Source organism: Homo sapiens, chromosome 20, assembly GCF_000001405.40.
Source record: "Homo sapiens chromosome 20, GRCh38.p14 Primary Assembly".
In the NCBI taxonomy this organism is placed as follows: Eukaryota; Metazoa; Chordata; class Mammalia; order Primates; family Hominidae; genus Homo; species Homo sapiens.
The window spans coordinates 62,528,968-62,542,967 of NC_000020.11; the positions used below are offsets into that span (position 1 = coordinate 62,528,968).

The 14,000-nt window shown below is 61.8% G+C and overlaps 1 long non-coding RNA gene across 2 annotated transcripts; it reads left to right on the forward strand.

Annotated features, from left to right (window-relative positions):
- Positions 1–5,040: 5,040 nt before the first annotated feature.
- On the forward strand, positions 5,041–7,741 carry LOC105376995 (uncharacterized). 2 transcript variants are annotated; one of them, XR_936978.3, is made up of 3 exons: positions 5,041–5,107; positions 5,310–5,456; positions 7,120–7,741. It is a non-coding gene; the product is annotated as an uncharacterized LOC105376995 (long non-coding RNA). The 2 variants fall into 2 exon arrangements; XR_007067708.1 differs by lacking the exon at positions 7,120–7,741 and adding an exon at positions 6,331–6,417.
- Positions 7,742–14,000: the final 6,259 nt, after the last annotated feature.

Consider the following 14,000-nt stretch of genomic DNA (forward strand, 5'->3'; position numbering starts at 1 on the left):
GCAGTGTGCTCAGTCCTAGTGTTATGGGTTGAATTATGGCCACAAAAAATTCCTGTGTTAAGTTTCTAACCCGCAGTACCCTGGAATGTGGCTTTCTTTGGAAATAGGGTCATTGCAGGTGTAATTGGTTAAGATGATGTCATACCAGAGTAGGCCTTGATCCAATGTGAGTGCGTCCTGATACAAAGGGGAAATCTGGACACACAGACACCCACGCAGGAAGGCCGTCTTCATCTTCGTGTGATGGTGACGGAAAGTTGGAGGCAGAGAGCCAGGGGGTGTTTCTATGAGCCAAGGAACGCCAGGGTGCTGGCAGCTGCCAGGAGCTGGGAGGGAGGCCTGGGACAGAGTCTTCCTCGTGGCCTCTGGAAGGAGCCAACCCCACTGACACCGGGATCTGGGACTTTGGCCTCCAGAACAACAGACAATGCATTTCTGGTGTTCAGCTGCCCAGTCTGCTGTCCTTTGTCCTGGTGGCCCCTGGACACTCACACACCCAGTGGGCCTGTGTGTTTAGGGCTGGCCATGGCCAGGCAGCACGGGAGGACTTTGCACACGGGATCTCCTTGCAGCTTCTAACTGCCTGGGAGGGAGGTGCTGGTGTCCCTGTGTTTGGTGCTCGGGCTGCCTCCCAGGTGGTGGTCCCAGCCCAGGGCTCCGTGGCTCATCCGCTTACTGCCAGCACCCGTGATGTTCACCTCCGCCCCGGCTGAAGACCATGAAAAGTTTGTGCTCAAACAGCGGCAGCCTGGGGTTCACCCTGGCAGGTGACCCCCCGCCCACACACGCACAGCCTCCCTAACTCTCCACGGCCCCACTGCTGCTCCCGAGGGCTTCCAGAAATTTGGAGCTGAGGTGGGGCTTTGCGAACCTCTCCCGCCCTGTAGCCTGTCCACCCTCCTCCAGCCACCCTGCCGCTGATGAGGCGCGGATAGTTATTTCTGCAAGAAAAGCAGCTTTCTCTCTCTCTTTATTCCTTCAATTATGCAGCCACGTCTCGACAACGCCAGCCGTCAGAGCGGTCGGGCTGAGGGGGACAGCGCACAGGACAGCTGCAGCCAGCCCTGTCATGACCTTGGCCACCAGGGAACGCCCTGTGTGTTATCAAAATGAGAAATGTTAGCCAGGCCCTCGTGAGTTTGAGACGTGGAGACAGAGCTCCTCCCCGCATTCTTAGCATGCTCGGGGGGCCTGGGGGTCTGGGCTTGTCCAAGTCCGGGGATGGGGGTGCTGCGTCTCTGTTTTCAGTTCCGGCACCTCTGCAGGCTGTCCTAGGGTGTCTGAGGCTCTTGCCCCAGACCTTGGTGGGTTTGGTAATTAGGGGTGGTGGTGGGGTGGGGTGGGAGGTCACTGCTCTCGTGGATTGGGGGTGCTAAGGCCCACAGGCCCAGAGCGTGGCGGGAGGTTGTAGGCTCTGCGGCCAGCAGCCAGCTCTGCCCAGCTCCAGGCCCAGCTCCTTGCTGCCCCTGCCCAGGCCCCAGGGCCTCCCTCTGGCTCTGCTCCTAGAAACTATCATCTCCTTCTAGAAACTATCATCTCCCCTCAAACCTCCAGGGGGGGTTCTCGCCCCCTTAGAATTAAACCGAAGCTCTCGTGCTGGCTGCAGGCTGACAGCACCATGTGACACCTGGCCACTGGCTACCCCGTCATTGTCATGGTTTGCATGGGTCTCCGTGGCCTGGCTGGGTCTGGGGGTGGTGCCCAGAGGCTGGGTTCCTCACACCCAGCAGCACGCCCCGCCAACATGACCTCCCATCTCTATGCCCTCTGCAGGGACGCACTGCTGGCCTGAAGGGGTTCGAGGGAAGGCCACCTCGCGACTGCCTCTGCAGCAGAACCCCCGGGGGCTGCTGTGTCCTCTCAGCATATCTAGAGAAACACTCAGGAGGATTCTTAATGACTTCAGTGGGATGTGTTTGCGGTTTACCTTCAAAGTCGTGGCCGCCCTTTATTGAACAAACGCCTGAGTCAGAAGCTCCACTGAGCGACCCAACGCATTCGCTCTACTGGGCCGGCTGATCATCTGCAATCATCACGCTGTTTCCAGAGGAGGAAACTGAGGCACATGAGGCGTAAGCAACATGCTCAAGGAGTCACAGAGAGAAAGTGGCAGAGAGGGGATCAAACGCTGGGATTCAGAGGCGGCGCCGCTCCCACAGCTGCCTCGGGGACGGCATTCTGGGCCTGAGCCGGGCCCTGGGGCCGGGCATCCTGGCTGAGGGGCCTGGAAAGACCCTACAGTGTCTGCCACGGCCTCCTGCTGGGCCCACACAGAGCCCAGGTGATGCCCGGCACCGCTGGTCCTGTCCTTCCCCCACAGCTGCCCACCACGGCCCTGCCCTTCCCTGAGCCTGCCCCTCCCTGAGCCTGCCCCTCCCTGAGCCTGCCCTTGTGGTTGTGGACCGATCAAAGCCCCCATGGCTCCCCGCCACCCCCCTTCCTGGGAGGTGACCGATACCAGAGATTAGCTGCCTAAACAATTAAAAATCCTGTTTACCGGCAACTGGGACTATTTCAGGTTTCACCTTTCAGCCAGTCAATGCCCAGTCCGTGCGGTCAATAGCAGGCTGTCTGTCTGGTGCCCAGGAAGCGAGGCTGGTAGGACCCACCATGGGGGCTTCTGGGAGGGGACAGTGGGGCTGTGTCCGAGAGGGTCGGGGGCAGTGCTGGGCCCTGGGAGCCCTGGCAGGGAACCCCTTCGGGGCAGAGTCTGGGGGCTGCCTGGGGGCTCTGTCCTCATGGGGAGTCACCAGGTGGCACTGCCTGCTGGCCCTGAGCCCTCCATGCCACTCTTTCCTCCTCTCCAAATGGCAAAAAAACAAAACAAAACAAAAAAACAGAAACAGCTCACGGGTTTGTTGGAAGATGCTGTGTGGTACGAGATGCGCAGGCCCAGTGGACAGCAAACACCCCATAGCCATGGCCGTACCAATGGTGACACAGCTGTCACCACGTGCCTCAACATCGCCCCAGCTGTGGCCTCTGGGTGGGTTCAGTGGACCTCAGCGGTTCTGGTACCCCCAGATCTTTCCAAAGGGGCTAGGGCCGGGGGAGGGTCTGATTCAAGGAGACCAAGCACACCAGGGGTTGGAGCAGATCCAGCCCCCTCTTGTGAGAGGGCCTGTGGGACAGCCAGGGCCTCGCTCTCTGCAGTGCTCAGCTGGCCCTCCCATGCCTGGCCAGCCTCCGTCAGCTCCACTCCCGGGAGCTTGACCCTCTCTCGCCTCTTCCCCATGAACGCCCCTCCTCCCATGGCTAGAGACACACACAGGAGCTGGGACAGTGGGACGGGGGAGATGGCTCCTCCAGCCTGAACTCAGCCCCCACCTCGAGTAAGTCACAACCTCCATACTTCCTTCCCCAGGAACCGAGTTGGCTGCAGGCTCGCAGCCTTGCCACTTAGCGTCAGTGCTCATGGGGGGCTGGGCCCCCTTGAAAGAGAGTGAGGTGGTCAAGGAGGAGCAAGCAGGGAGAGGCCCACGGAAGCCCAGCACCTCAGCGCCACCAGGACGGGCCCCCCGCCTTCAGCCTGCAGGGCTCATTCAGTCATTCACTTAGAAAGTCTACTGGGCCCCCACAGCGTAGAGACTTGGCAAGTGAATGAAACAGCCCCCCATACCATACTCGCAGAGCACGGAGCTCGGGCCTCGGCTGGCAGGGCCCCTATGCCCAGGACCCAGCTGGCAGGCTACAGCCGGGGTGACCCATCCGGAATCCGGGGAGATGGGCTGAGGGCTGTGGAGGGGGCCATAGGAGGGCCTGGGGGTGGGGCTGATGGAGTGGGATACAGGGCAGCCAGGCTGGGGGGCTGAAGGTGCAAGGTCACAGGGCCCGGGGCCCCCAGTCTGGGTGCCGCATGAGTCGTACCCATGTCTGGGGGACTAGGACCTGAATTGGCACAAGGCAGCACCCAGGGGCCCATCCAGCTGGAGACCTCCAGTAACAGCGGAGGATCTATCCAGCAACCACTGAGCCCTGGCCTGGTTCTGGGGACCCCTCCCCTCCCAGAAGAGCCCCCATCCCCAGGCCTGAAGGTGGGGGCTGATGTGTCTCCTGCAGTCTGGGTTCACAAGCAAGACACAGGAGGCGGGGGCTCCCTCGGCCGCAGATAGGCTCCGGGGCTGGGCTCCAGGGCTGGTGCACTTGGGCTCATGGGTGGAGCGAAGCCACATTTTTTGACAGCCCCAAAAGATGGCCAGTGCCCACGACTTCTGACGAGAGACACACGGATGGTTCCGCGGAGGCTGGACCCTTCTGTGTGCGTCCAGGATGGCAGCAGTGAGCTAGAACAGTCACCAGGGCAGCTGACAGAGGGCAGGGGACCCCTCCACGTCCAGCCTGTCCAGAACCCCCTGGTCCCCGGCACCGCCTGGGTCTTCCCTGGTTTCTCCAGGATGCCAGACAGACGCAGGGGACTTGCTTGTGAGAGAGGCCAGTTCCAAGGAGGCCTGCGGGAAACAAGCCCTCACTCCCCACCCCAAGGAGGGTCTTTCTCCCTTGGTTTCTGCCTCCCTGAGGTCTCCTCTTAGGTCAGAGGAGGGAGTTCCCACGGGTAAAGCACTGAGGGCGGTCGAAAGCCCCGAAGGCCACCCTGCTCCTTCCTTGCTGGTCTGGGTGACGACCCTACAGAGGGGTGGGCCTCTCACCGAGGGGCAGGGGTGCTGAGAGCAGGCACCGGGGCCTGGATGAGCTGCTGCCCCTGCCCCTGCCCTGTTCAGCCTGGCCAAGCGATCCCGGGGCTCTCATGGGGTCCCACGTTTGAAGATGCAGGGGTGGTTGAGGGAAGGGTCCCATCTAGGAAAGGGAGAGGGCTGTGGCAGGGCCAGGGGAACAGTCCAGTCATGGGGGAAGAAGGAGGCGGGTGGGAGCTGCCAGGCTGGGAGTGACGAGGCATCCCTGCTTGGGATCTGATAAAGCTTCCAGGGGCAGGGGAGGAGGGTGCAGTGTCTGTGGGTGGGGGCAGGGGGACCGGCAGGGGCAGCCACAAGAGAAGGAAACCGGATGGGAAGGGACAAGAAGGGTGACACCCACAGGGGCGGGAGCCCCAGGCTGGGTCATGGAGCTCACACTAGGCCTGAACGTGTGCTGCACATCTTGGCCAGAACAGGTAGCTCTCTGGCTGTGGGGGATCAGGTGGGGGGTCCGGTTGCTCCCAGGAGGTAGAGAGCATTCTTGAAATTGCCTCCTGGGGACTCTTAAGTCAAAACAGCCACTCTGGTGACCCCTGCTCCCATCCCACAGACAACAGGGGCTAGAACATCGGGATTGGCGTGAAATTCTGCATCTGTCTTCTCGCTTGACCCTTGCAGTGGCTCGTGGGACTGGATGGAACCCACTGACAGCTGGAGGCTGGAGGCAGCTCTTGGGACACTTCCCTGGCTTGGGCAGGCGTGGGAAGCCAGCACCCTGGGGTATCAGCCAGGCCTCTGGCCATAAGCAGCAGATGGCTCTGAGAGGTGGGTGCCCTTCCCACAGCCCCCGGGGCTGCTCGCTGGAGCAGAGGGGTTCCTCCCTGGGATGTCACTCTCCTAAGATGACGAGATGGAGGCTGAGAGACTGAGAGGCAGTGAGCATCTATCTACTGCCTGGCCCTTGCCCCTCACCCCCCAGTCTCCTAGGACTAAGATGGGGCTAGGCCTGTGCTGCTGCAGAAACGGACGCTTCAACCGGCCTGCCATGGCTCCCATTTCCCGACTGTCCCGGTGGAGACGGGCACCTGGCGGCCACACACTCAGTGTCACAGCAGCCTTCGCCTCTGCGGGGACACCGGCTCATTGGCCTCCTGAGGCTGTGCGTGGACACTGGGCCCCTCGAGCCAGGCGGGGACACTTCTACCTGGCTAGTTAATGCCACTCGGTGTTAGAAGCTTGAGGCAATGTTGCCATCATTTTAAGTGCCTGCCGATTTCTGTCGTCCAGTTGGTCATCAGGACACACATATATTTTGAAGGGGCCCTTCTGATGTATCTATTGGTGGAGCTAGTTAAAGAGCCCGACCCGATGGTGGAGTGTGGGGGCAGTGAGGCCATCAGGTTTATCCAGCTGGTGAGGTAACGCCCCAGGCGGAGGCTCAGGACGGCCCGGCGCCCCACGTCGGGGACTGGGCTGGAGGGTGGCAGCGCCCTTCAACACCCTGCAGAGGGTGGGGTGAGATCACAGTGGTGGGGGCACTGCTGGGGACGGGGGGGAGGGTGGGGACAGGCAGGCCGGACACCCTGGACCCCCTTGAGGGCCTGCAGGGGTTTGAGAAGGCGGGAGGGAAGCAGAGCATGGGGAAGAAATGCAGGAGGGAAGGAGGGAGGGAAGGAAGGCTCGTTCTTTTCCCTTCTAGAAATCATGAATTGGTTATTAGAAATCACTTCAGGGCCTTGCTGCTGGTGGGGAGGAGGCGGCACCTGCAGGAGAGGCTGGCCCTGGGTGAGTCTCACGCCCCACACCCTGCTCTGCACCAGGGCGCAGACCCTCCCTGAGTAGCAGCCCCCAGGCCCCAGCCTGGCACTCATCCATCTCCAGCCCAGAGAGAGGCCCGGGGCAGCTGTGGGGCCAGGCTCCCCAAGAGGGTGGCTGAGGGGTGGGGACCGGGAGACAGATGGCGTCCGAGGCTGTCCTGCGTCTGCCTGTGGGCCTGAAGATGGATTTGAGCGCCTACTATGTGCTAGGGAGTGTGCTAGTCTTGGGGAGTCAGCCACACAGGACTAAGGGCTCTGGGGCAGGGACGGTTGCTGCAGCCTCTGACCTCCAAGAATTGCAGTTGAGGGGGTGGGGGTCAGGGGGCTCCTGACTCACTAGTCGCATGCCCTTCACATGTGACTTCTGCATGCCTTGTCACCTGGACTGTCACTGCTGGGCCAGCCCCACCGCCCCAGGCCACAGAAGGGTGCGCGCAAACACCCTCCTTTTCCAGGTGGGGAGGCCCAGGCCCAGGGCGGAGGCCCCTGTCCCGTCACTCAGAGTGGCAGCAGGGCTGGACACAAATGGGGGCTTCAGCTCCAGGTCAGGGAGCCCCCATCCCCAGGCCTAGAAGGGAGGGTGACTCTGCAGCTCTGTGGCCCCCATGGCCCCTCCTGTGCCCTCCCAACTCTGCTTCTGGAGAAAGGCTATTCTCGGGTTTTCCCAACAGGTGCCGAGCACGGAGCATGAGTCTGCGCTGATGTCAGCCTCCCAAAGTGTCTTGGCTGGGCCTCGAGGCCACCTCCACCCCCAGCAGTGCTGAGAAGCCCAAGGCCCGAGACTGACAAGCGTTTCCGGGGCTGGTACATCCTGGGCTGGCTCCGAGGAGGGGTGGCTTCGGGCTGGGGCTGTTACCCTTATCCAGGGACTAGAGCGAGGGCTGGAAAGTGCCCTTCCCTCCCCTCCAGGGGAAAAGACAACCCTGACATGGGGGTCGATGCCCCTTCCTCCAGGAAGCCCTCCTGGCCCTGGGTGGCCCCCTCTGTACCTGCGCCCCATTACTATGTAGTTGTTGGTTCTGAGCTGGGCTTTTGGTGAGGGGAGGACAGGGCTGTGTCCAAGCTGGCACTTGGATGCCACTCTGCACGAGGCCTGTGCTAAGTCCTTTCCCAAGGGCTGGGTGCTGTGACCCTCCTGGGGAGGCGGGGAGCCCCTGGGAGGTTGGATGCCTTGTCCAGGCAGCCTGGCTCCAGCCCTGTATCCTGCTCATGCTTTGTCCTAGCATTCAGCAGTGTGCCTGGCACTTTGTGTGGCCTCAGCAGGTAGCTCCTGAATAAAGGAATGTGTGCCCACCTCAGCCACAATTCCTACAGAGGGTGGGACCGAGGACTCATTTCAAAAGGGCTGGCGCCACTTCTGGAACCCCTGGTTCTTGGGGAGGGGCCCACACTCCAACAGGCAGACCCGGCCCAGGGCCATCTCCTGGGCCTCCACCTTGGGCTCAGAGGGGTTGGAGTTAGAGGTGCCGCCGGCAGGCAGCGTCCCCACCCCAGAGCCACCCTTGGCCCCTGCCCCCGCTCAGCCACAGAGGCCCTGCCCACAGCCTCTTGTTTCTTGGCCATGAGGAATGAGCCCGGGGCCTGGAGGTGCCCCTGCATGGTCTCCAGGTCTCGATCACTGACAGGCACTCGGAGGTACCAGGAGGAGGCCTGTGTGGAGGCGGAGGGGCAGTGCTGCACAGAGGGAAATGTATGTGTTTTGGCTTCCAACTGCCTCTGCAATGACATAATCAGAAGGCTTTTACTGACTGGGCAATAAAACAGCTCATCACTGTGAACACGAGTGCCTCCGCAGAGTGGCCGCCGGCTTGGCAGCCCTGGGAAGGTCACTCAGGAGCCCAGAGGAGGCCGCCTGGCAGGCAGCAGTGTCCCCGGAGGCCAAGCCCAAACACGGGCAGGCCCTGGGGGCTGTCGTTGGTCCTGGGCTGAGTGTAGCACAGAACCCCCAGGGTTAACCCCCCCACACCACCCACTGTAGCTGCAGTGCTCCTGGGGCTGACCACTGCCGCAGAGCCCCTGCCAGGCCCCGGGAACATTGCCCCACCCCTGCCAGGCCCTGGGAATGCTGCCCCACCCCTGCCAGGCCCCAGGAACGCTGCCCCGTGGAAGCCATTGCCCGAACATGATTGCCCACTTTGCGTCCTGAGGTCAAGGTGGGATTGGCTCAGTGAAGAGCTGGCTCATGGTGGTGGGACAGGGAGGGGAGGCAGGAAGGGTGGCCCAGGAGAAGGTCTTGGAGTGGAGGGGCCAGGGGGCCCACGGGTCTCGAAGAAGGCTTCATGAGGCTTTAGCAGGGAAGGGAGGAAGGAGAGGGTCCTAGAGTGGGGGCTTCTCCTGGCAGCTCTTGGGTGGAGCCACCTGGGCTGTGGCTTCCAGTGTGGTATCTGCCCCCAGCAGGAGGCAGGACGGGCGTGGCCCATGGTCTCAATGGGAACGTGGGGCCACGTGAGGCATGGGGTTTCCTCCAGCAGAAGGCAGGGCCGCCGTGGCCCATGGTCTCGATGGGGATGCGAGGCCATGTGAGGCATGGTGTTTCCCAGCTTCAAGGAGCCCTGGAGACCACGGATCCAGGAATTCCCACCTTGGAGTGGGAGGTAAAGAGGCAGCGCCTGGGGCGGAAAGCTCCGCAGTACTCCGCCGTGGCTCCTCTGACGTTGGCCACCAGGCGAACCCAAGCCCCAAAAGCCCAGCCCATGTGCCACGCTCCCTAGTCACCACCGGGGCGGTCCCCAGCCCGTGACGGCGCCCCTCCCTGGCCTGAGGAGTGGTGCAGGGCAGAGGGGTGTCCGTGAACACCAGCAGCCACCTCTACGGGGGTGAGGCTGGGCTGTGTGTTCCGACGCTCCACAGGCAGGGGCAGATTTGTACTAGTGTTCTGCGCTGGGTAACCAATCGCCACACAGTTGGCTGCTTGAAAACACCACCTTACGCCCTCACGGTTTCCGTGCGTTGGAATCCCGGCCTGGCGCGGCAGGGCTCTCTGCTCAGCATCTCCCTGGGCTGAAATTCAGGTGTTGACCCAGCTTCAGCCTCCCTGGAGGTCAGGCCCTCTTCTAGGTTTGCCAGGTTTTTGGCCGACCCCAGCTCCTCGCGGTTGGAGAGCTGAGGTCCCTGTTCTCTGTGGCTGGGGCCGGGTGCTCGCAGCTCCTAGAGGCTGCCCGGAGACCCTGCCACATGTGCCGGGGAGCGTTTCACAGCAGGCTGTGGCATCCTCCTCGGAGACCAGCAGGATTGGTCCCTGTGATGACCTGATGGGGTCAGGCCCAGCCAGCACCACCTTCCCTTTGAGTAACTTGAGGTCAAAGTTCCCTCCCCGGGAGTGATGCCGTCTTGCCTGCTGGCCCTGCCCTCACTCGGGGAGAGATGGTGGCGGGATGCACCCCACGGCCAGAATTGGCCGATTCTGCCTCCGCAGGCTTTGGCTTCCAAAGGAAGTCGGGAGACTCTGAGCCTCTCGCTCTACAGGGAGAGCCGGGAGGCCCCTGAGATGGACGCCCCCTCAGCAAATGCCTGAGATGCCGGGCTGAGGGGACAGAAGCTTTGCCCATGAGCCCTGCCCAGGCCCAGCCCCCACCCCTGCCCTGCTCCAGGCAGCCATGCCCAGCCCCCACCCCTGCCCCGCTCCGGGCAGCCATGCCCAGCCCCCACCCCTGCCCCGCTCTGGGCAGCCATGCCCAGCCCCCATCCCTGCCCCGCTCCAGGCAGCCATGCCCAGCCCACGTGCCTGGCGGGAGCATTTCTGGTGGCAGCCTTGCCCCCGGTCGTTGAGGCCCCGGATCCACGGGACGAGTGCCGTGAGAGGCCGGCTGTCTCAGTTAAGCTACCTGAAGACTCCAATTCAATCATTTATCAGGTCCCATCATAAATTCAAGGCAGCCCTCCAAGGTTTGAAGAGCTCAAATTTGACTTCCTCGGGAGTTTTACGAGGAGCAGGAGCCATTTGTCAGGGCAGACGGCTCCATCTGTTCAGCGGGCGCCCTTCGGGGAGGGAGGTTCCTGGCAAAAGCAAAGCTGGGACGGAGGTTGGTGCTGTCAGGAGGCCACGTGTCCTCCAGGGACCAGAGTGTGGCCCCTGAGAGTTTGTTTCTTGGGATGATTAGCAATTCAGCCAGGGCAGGGGCACATGGGGGTGCCGGGGGGTAGGGGAAGGTGGGGAGCTGCAGCCAAGTAACTGTGAGCAAAGAAACCCTGGCCGGCTTGAGCTGCAGCCAAACGCAGCTGCCGGAGGCCTCCCTGCTCAGGGCAGCACCCCCATATCCCAGCCACCAGGCCTCTTCTGGAGGGAAACTCGGCCCACAGGGCCCTGACCCTGGAGGGGAGAAAGGGTCACCCAAGCCTCCCTACTATCTGCAGCCTGTGGTGGGCACCCGTCAGCTGCAGAATGTGGGGGTTAGATCATAAGGCAGGAACAGCAGCTTCCTTGCCTTCTGAACATCCCGTCCCGGAGCTGGCTGGAGCCTGGCTCAGCAGAGCCAGGAGGCGCCTGCAGCGTTGGGACACGAGGCGAGCTGTGCAGAGAGGCAGCCGCACCTCGCTGGGCCCCTGGGTGGGGGGTGCTGCACTGTGCCAAGGGCTTCTGGGGCTCCCAGGTGGGGTGAGGGCTGCATCTGCCATGGAGCCCAAAGCCTCCTTGGGCCCAGGAATGGGGTTCACATCAGGAAACTGCCTGAGGGGTCTCGTTCCTGCTGTGCCCCAGGAGCGAGGGCTGGAGGAGGAGGAGGGTAGGAGACGGTTCTTCCAGAATTGACCATTTGAGCCAGGTCTGGGGGCCAGAACGGCAACCTCCCCCATGTGTGGCACATGTTTTAATCTGTCAAGTGGCTTTGTGGCCACCATCTCAGAATCTCCGAAAGCAGTAGCAATGGGAACCACCCCCCACCAAAGCTTGTGAAAATGCAGATTCCTGGGTACACCGCCTGGGTACGCCTGGGTACACTGAATCCTCCTACAGCTGCTCTGGGGTAGTGAGCTCCCCACCTGCATAAGCATTTAACCGAAGCATCCAGCTTCAGTGACAGGAGGGCTACTGGACCAGATGACATCCAGCTCAGTCCCAGATCCACTGACCGCCCAGGGGTCTCGATCACCTGATTCTCAGCAGGGCTGGTGGAGGCTGGCACCAGGATGACTCCGGACCAAGGTGCTGGGAGCCCAGGGCCCTCGGGGTAAGGGGTGCTTCACAGTGAGCAGCCCGAGGCACGTTCCCATGGGCCATTGTCACACCCTGCCTGGGGCTGCCAGCTCCAGGGGGCCATTGTGGCCTGCACCCCCGAGGAGGAGGACACCGCCCCCTACGGGTACCCTGAGCCTGCTGCCATATTTGTAAATGCTACACGCAGGGAACCAAAAAGTCCCCGGCCCAAATGAAACAAAACCCCAGAGAGCACCTGCTTGGGCCCACGAGAAAAAGCCATCTTGGCGTCCCATCCGCAATAGGACTCAGCTTGGCAGCCTGCACTGCGCAGCGTTCAGCTCCTTTCCAAATGAGTTTGGCGTTTTTTATAAAAAGCACCTTTATAACAATCCCAGAATGAATATTTATAGGGCAGGGATGAGGGAACCGGCTAATTGTGGCTGAGATCTTGCCGGATCAACACTCCTCGGCTCCCAGAGGATGTGCACAGGAGATTAAAGCTGTTCCCTTCATCCCTGGGCTCAGGGCTGGGCTCCGGGTGCAGGGTGGAGACCCAGAAGGAACCCTCTAACCCTTAGCAGATCATAGGCTAATGCCATGACCAAGGGCATCAGGGGCTGGGGATGTTCTTAGAAATAGGGCCCTTGGGAGGAGGTGGGAGGCCAAGGCTAAGGGCAAAATGAGAATCTGAGAATTTGGCCAGTGCCATTGGGCCTCCTCTGCTGGGAGCTGAGAATTCAGCCTCTGCCATCGGGCCTCCTCTGCCGGGAGCTGAGAATTCGGCCGCTGCCATTGGGCCTTCTCTGCTGGGAGCTGTTACAAGCTTCGGGTGGGGTGGATGATGAGGAGGCAAGACCCAGTGTGGGCGTCCATCTGGGTGTCTTGGACAGGACAGCCCAGGACCCCTGCTGTCCACCCTGGAGAGCAGAAGCTCTGAGCTCTCCCCCAGCCACCTCCTTCTGTGCAGTCCCTGGGAGAGGGGCAGGGAATAGGTGCCCAGAGTGGGACCAGGCGTCGTTTGGTTCTGGAGCTATAGGCAGCTGCAAGAGATGCTGGTGAAATCTGCAGAGATGAGGTCCCCTCTGAGCCTTGGGGCTTTGCTGGCAGCATCGCTGTGGCCTAGGACACAGGGAACAGAAGTGGGTGGCTAGGATCAGGCCCTTCTTTCTCCCTGGAAATGGAAATCTGTCTCAACCCAGAAAAATACTCTGCAAGAGCTGGTGAACTCGCTGGGGTGAGGGACCTGCTAGCTCCCTTCCCTGCCTGTGGTCCTTGTCCCCTGCAGGACTGGCCCTGAGTGGCTGGGGGCTGGGCACCATTCCTGATTGTCCAGCAGTGCTGGACTGGGGAGGGTCCTCACCATGGGTATGTCCATGGAGGGGGGCTCCTCCCTCAGCCCCAGCACTGCTCCCCAACCCTGACCCTGCTCTTCCACTCACCCCCTGCAAAGATGAGCAAAGTTGCAGCTCCAAGGGGCTGGGGCGGGCAGCTCAGAGGAGCCCAGGCTGCCCACTTCTGCCGGCTCGAAATGACTTCTATTTGCTTCTAGGATGGGTCAGTGTGAGTCCTCTACAGAGGAGAAGCAGGCAGACCCACAGAAACACTTATCGCCCCCACCCGACGCACACACCCACACTGAGCTGGGGCATCGAGCAGAGGGACGGAGCGGGAGGAGCAAGTCTTCGGCGTCCTGGGGCGGGGACATGGAGAGATCAGAGGTCAGCCTGGGCCCCCAGGGCCCTGTTGTATGTCCCCTGCCCCTTGGGGTCCTCCCCACATCCCGGGGGGTTCTGGGTTGGCTGGACTCAAGGATGGTGCAGTTGTACCGGAGGCCGCCCTGCGCTGACCCAGAGCCTCTGAGTGACCCGTGCTGGAGGCTCCAAGCAGTGCCACGTGGGCCTCAAGGAGTGTTGGAGTCTGCGACAGCAAAGCTGTCACCATTCTGAGTGGGATGTCTGTGGCTGGAAGCAAATTGCTCTCCCCTAACATCATGGCAATGAAATAGAACTTTATGAGCTGTCAGAGAGGCTTTGCCCACTGCCCCTCAGGTAGTGCGTGTGTATTTGTTTGGCTCCGTGTGCACCTGTGTACCCTGAGGTTGGGCAGGAGGCGGCCTCCCAGGCACGGTGCAGGAGGACGGTGAGGTCCCGTTCCTTTTTGTAGTGTTGCGGGACATGCTGGATGCCCACGGGCACTTCACACACAGCTCTGGTCTGTGGGGCACACAGGTGTGCACAGCCTCCTGGGAGCTTCCCAGGATACCTCATGTTTGTGTGAGCTGTGTGCTGGGGTGTGGGGCAGGCAGAGGGGACGATGGCAGACCACTGTAGGCTACGTCTCCTGCTGGGAGCTCGGACGAGTCCACGGGGACCTCTTAAAGGCTCTGAGGAGGCCCATCCTCCATGCCAGTGACAGGGA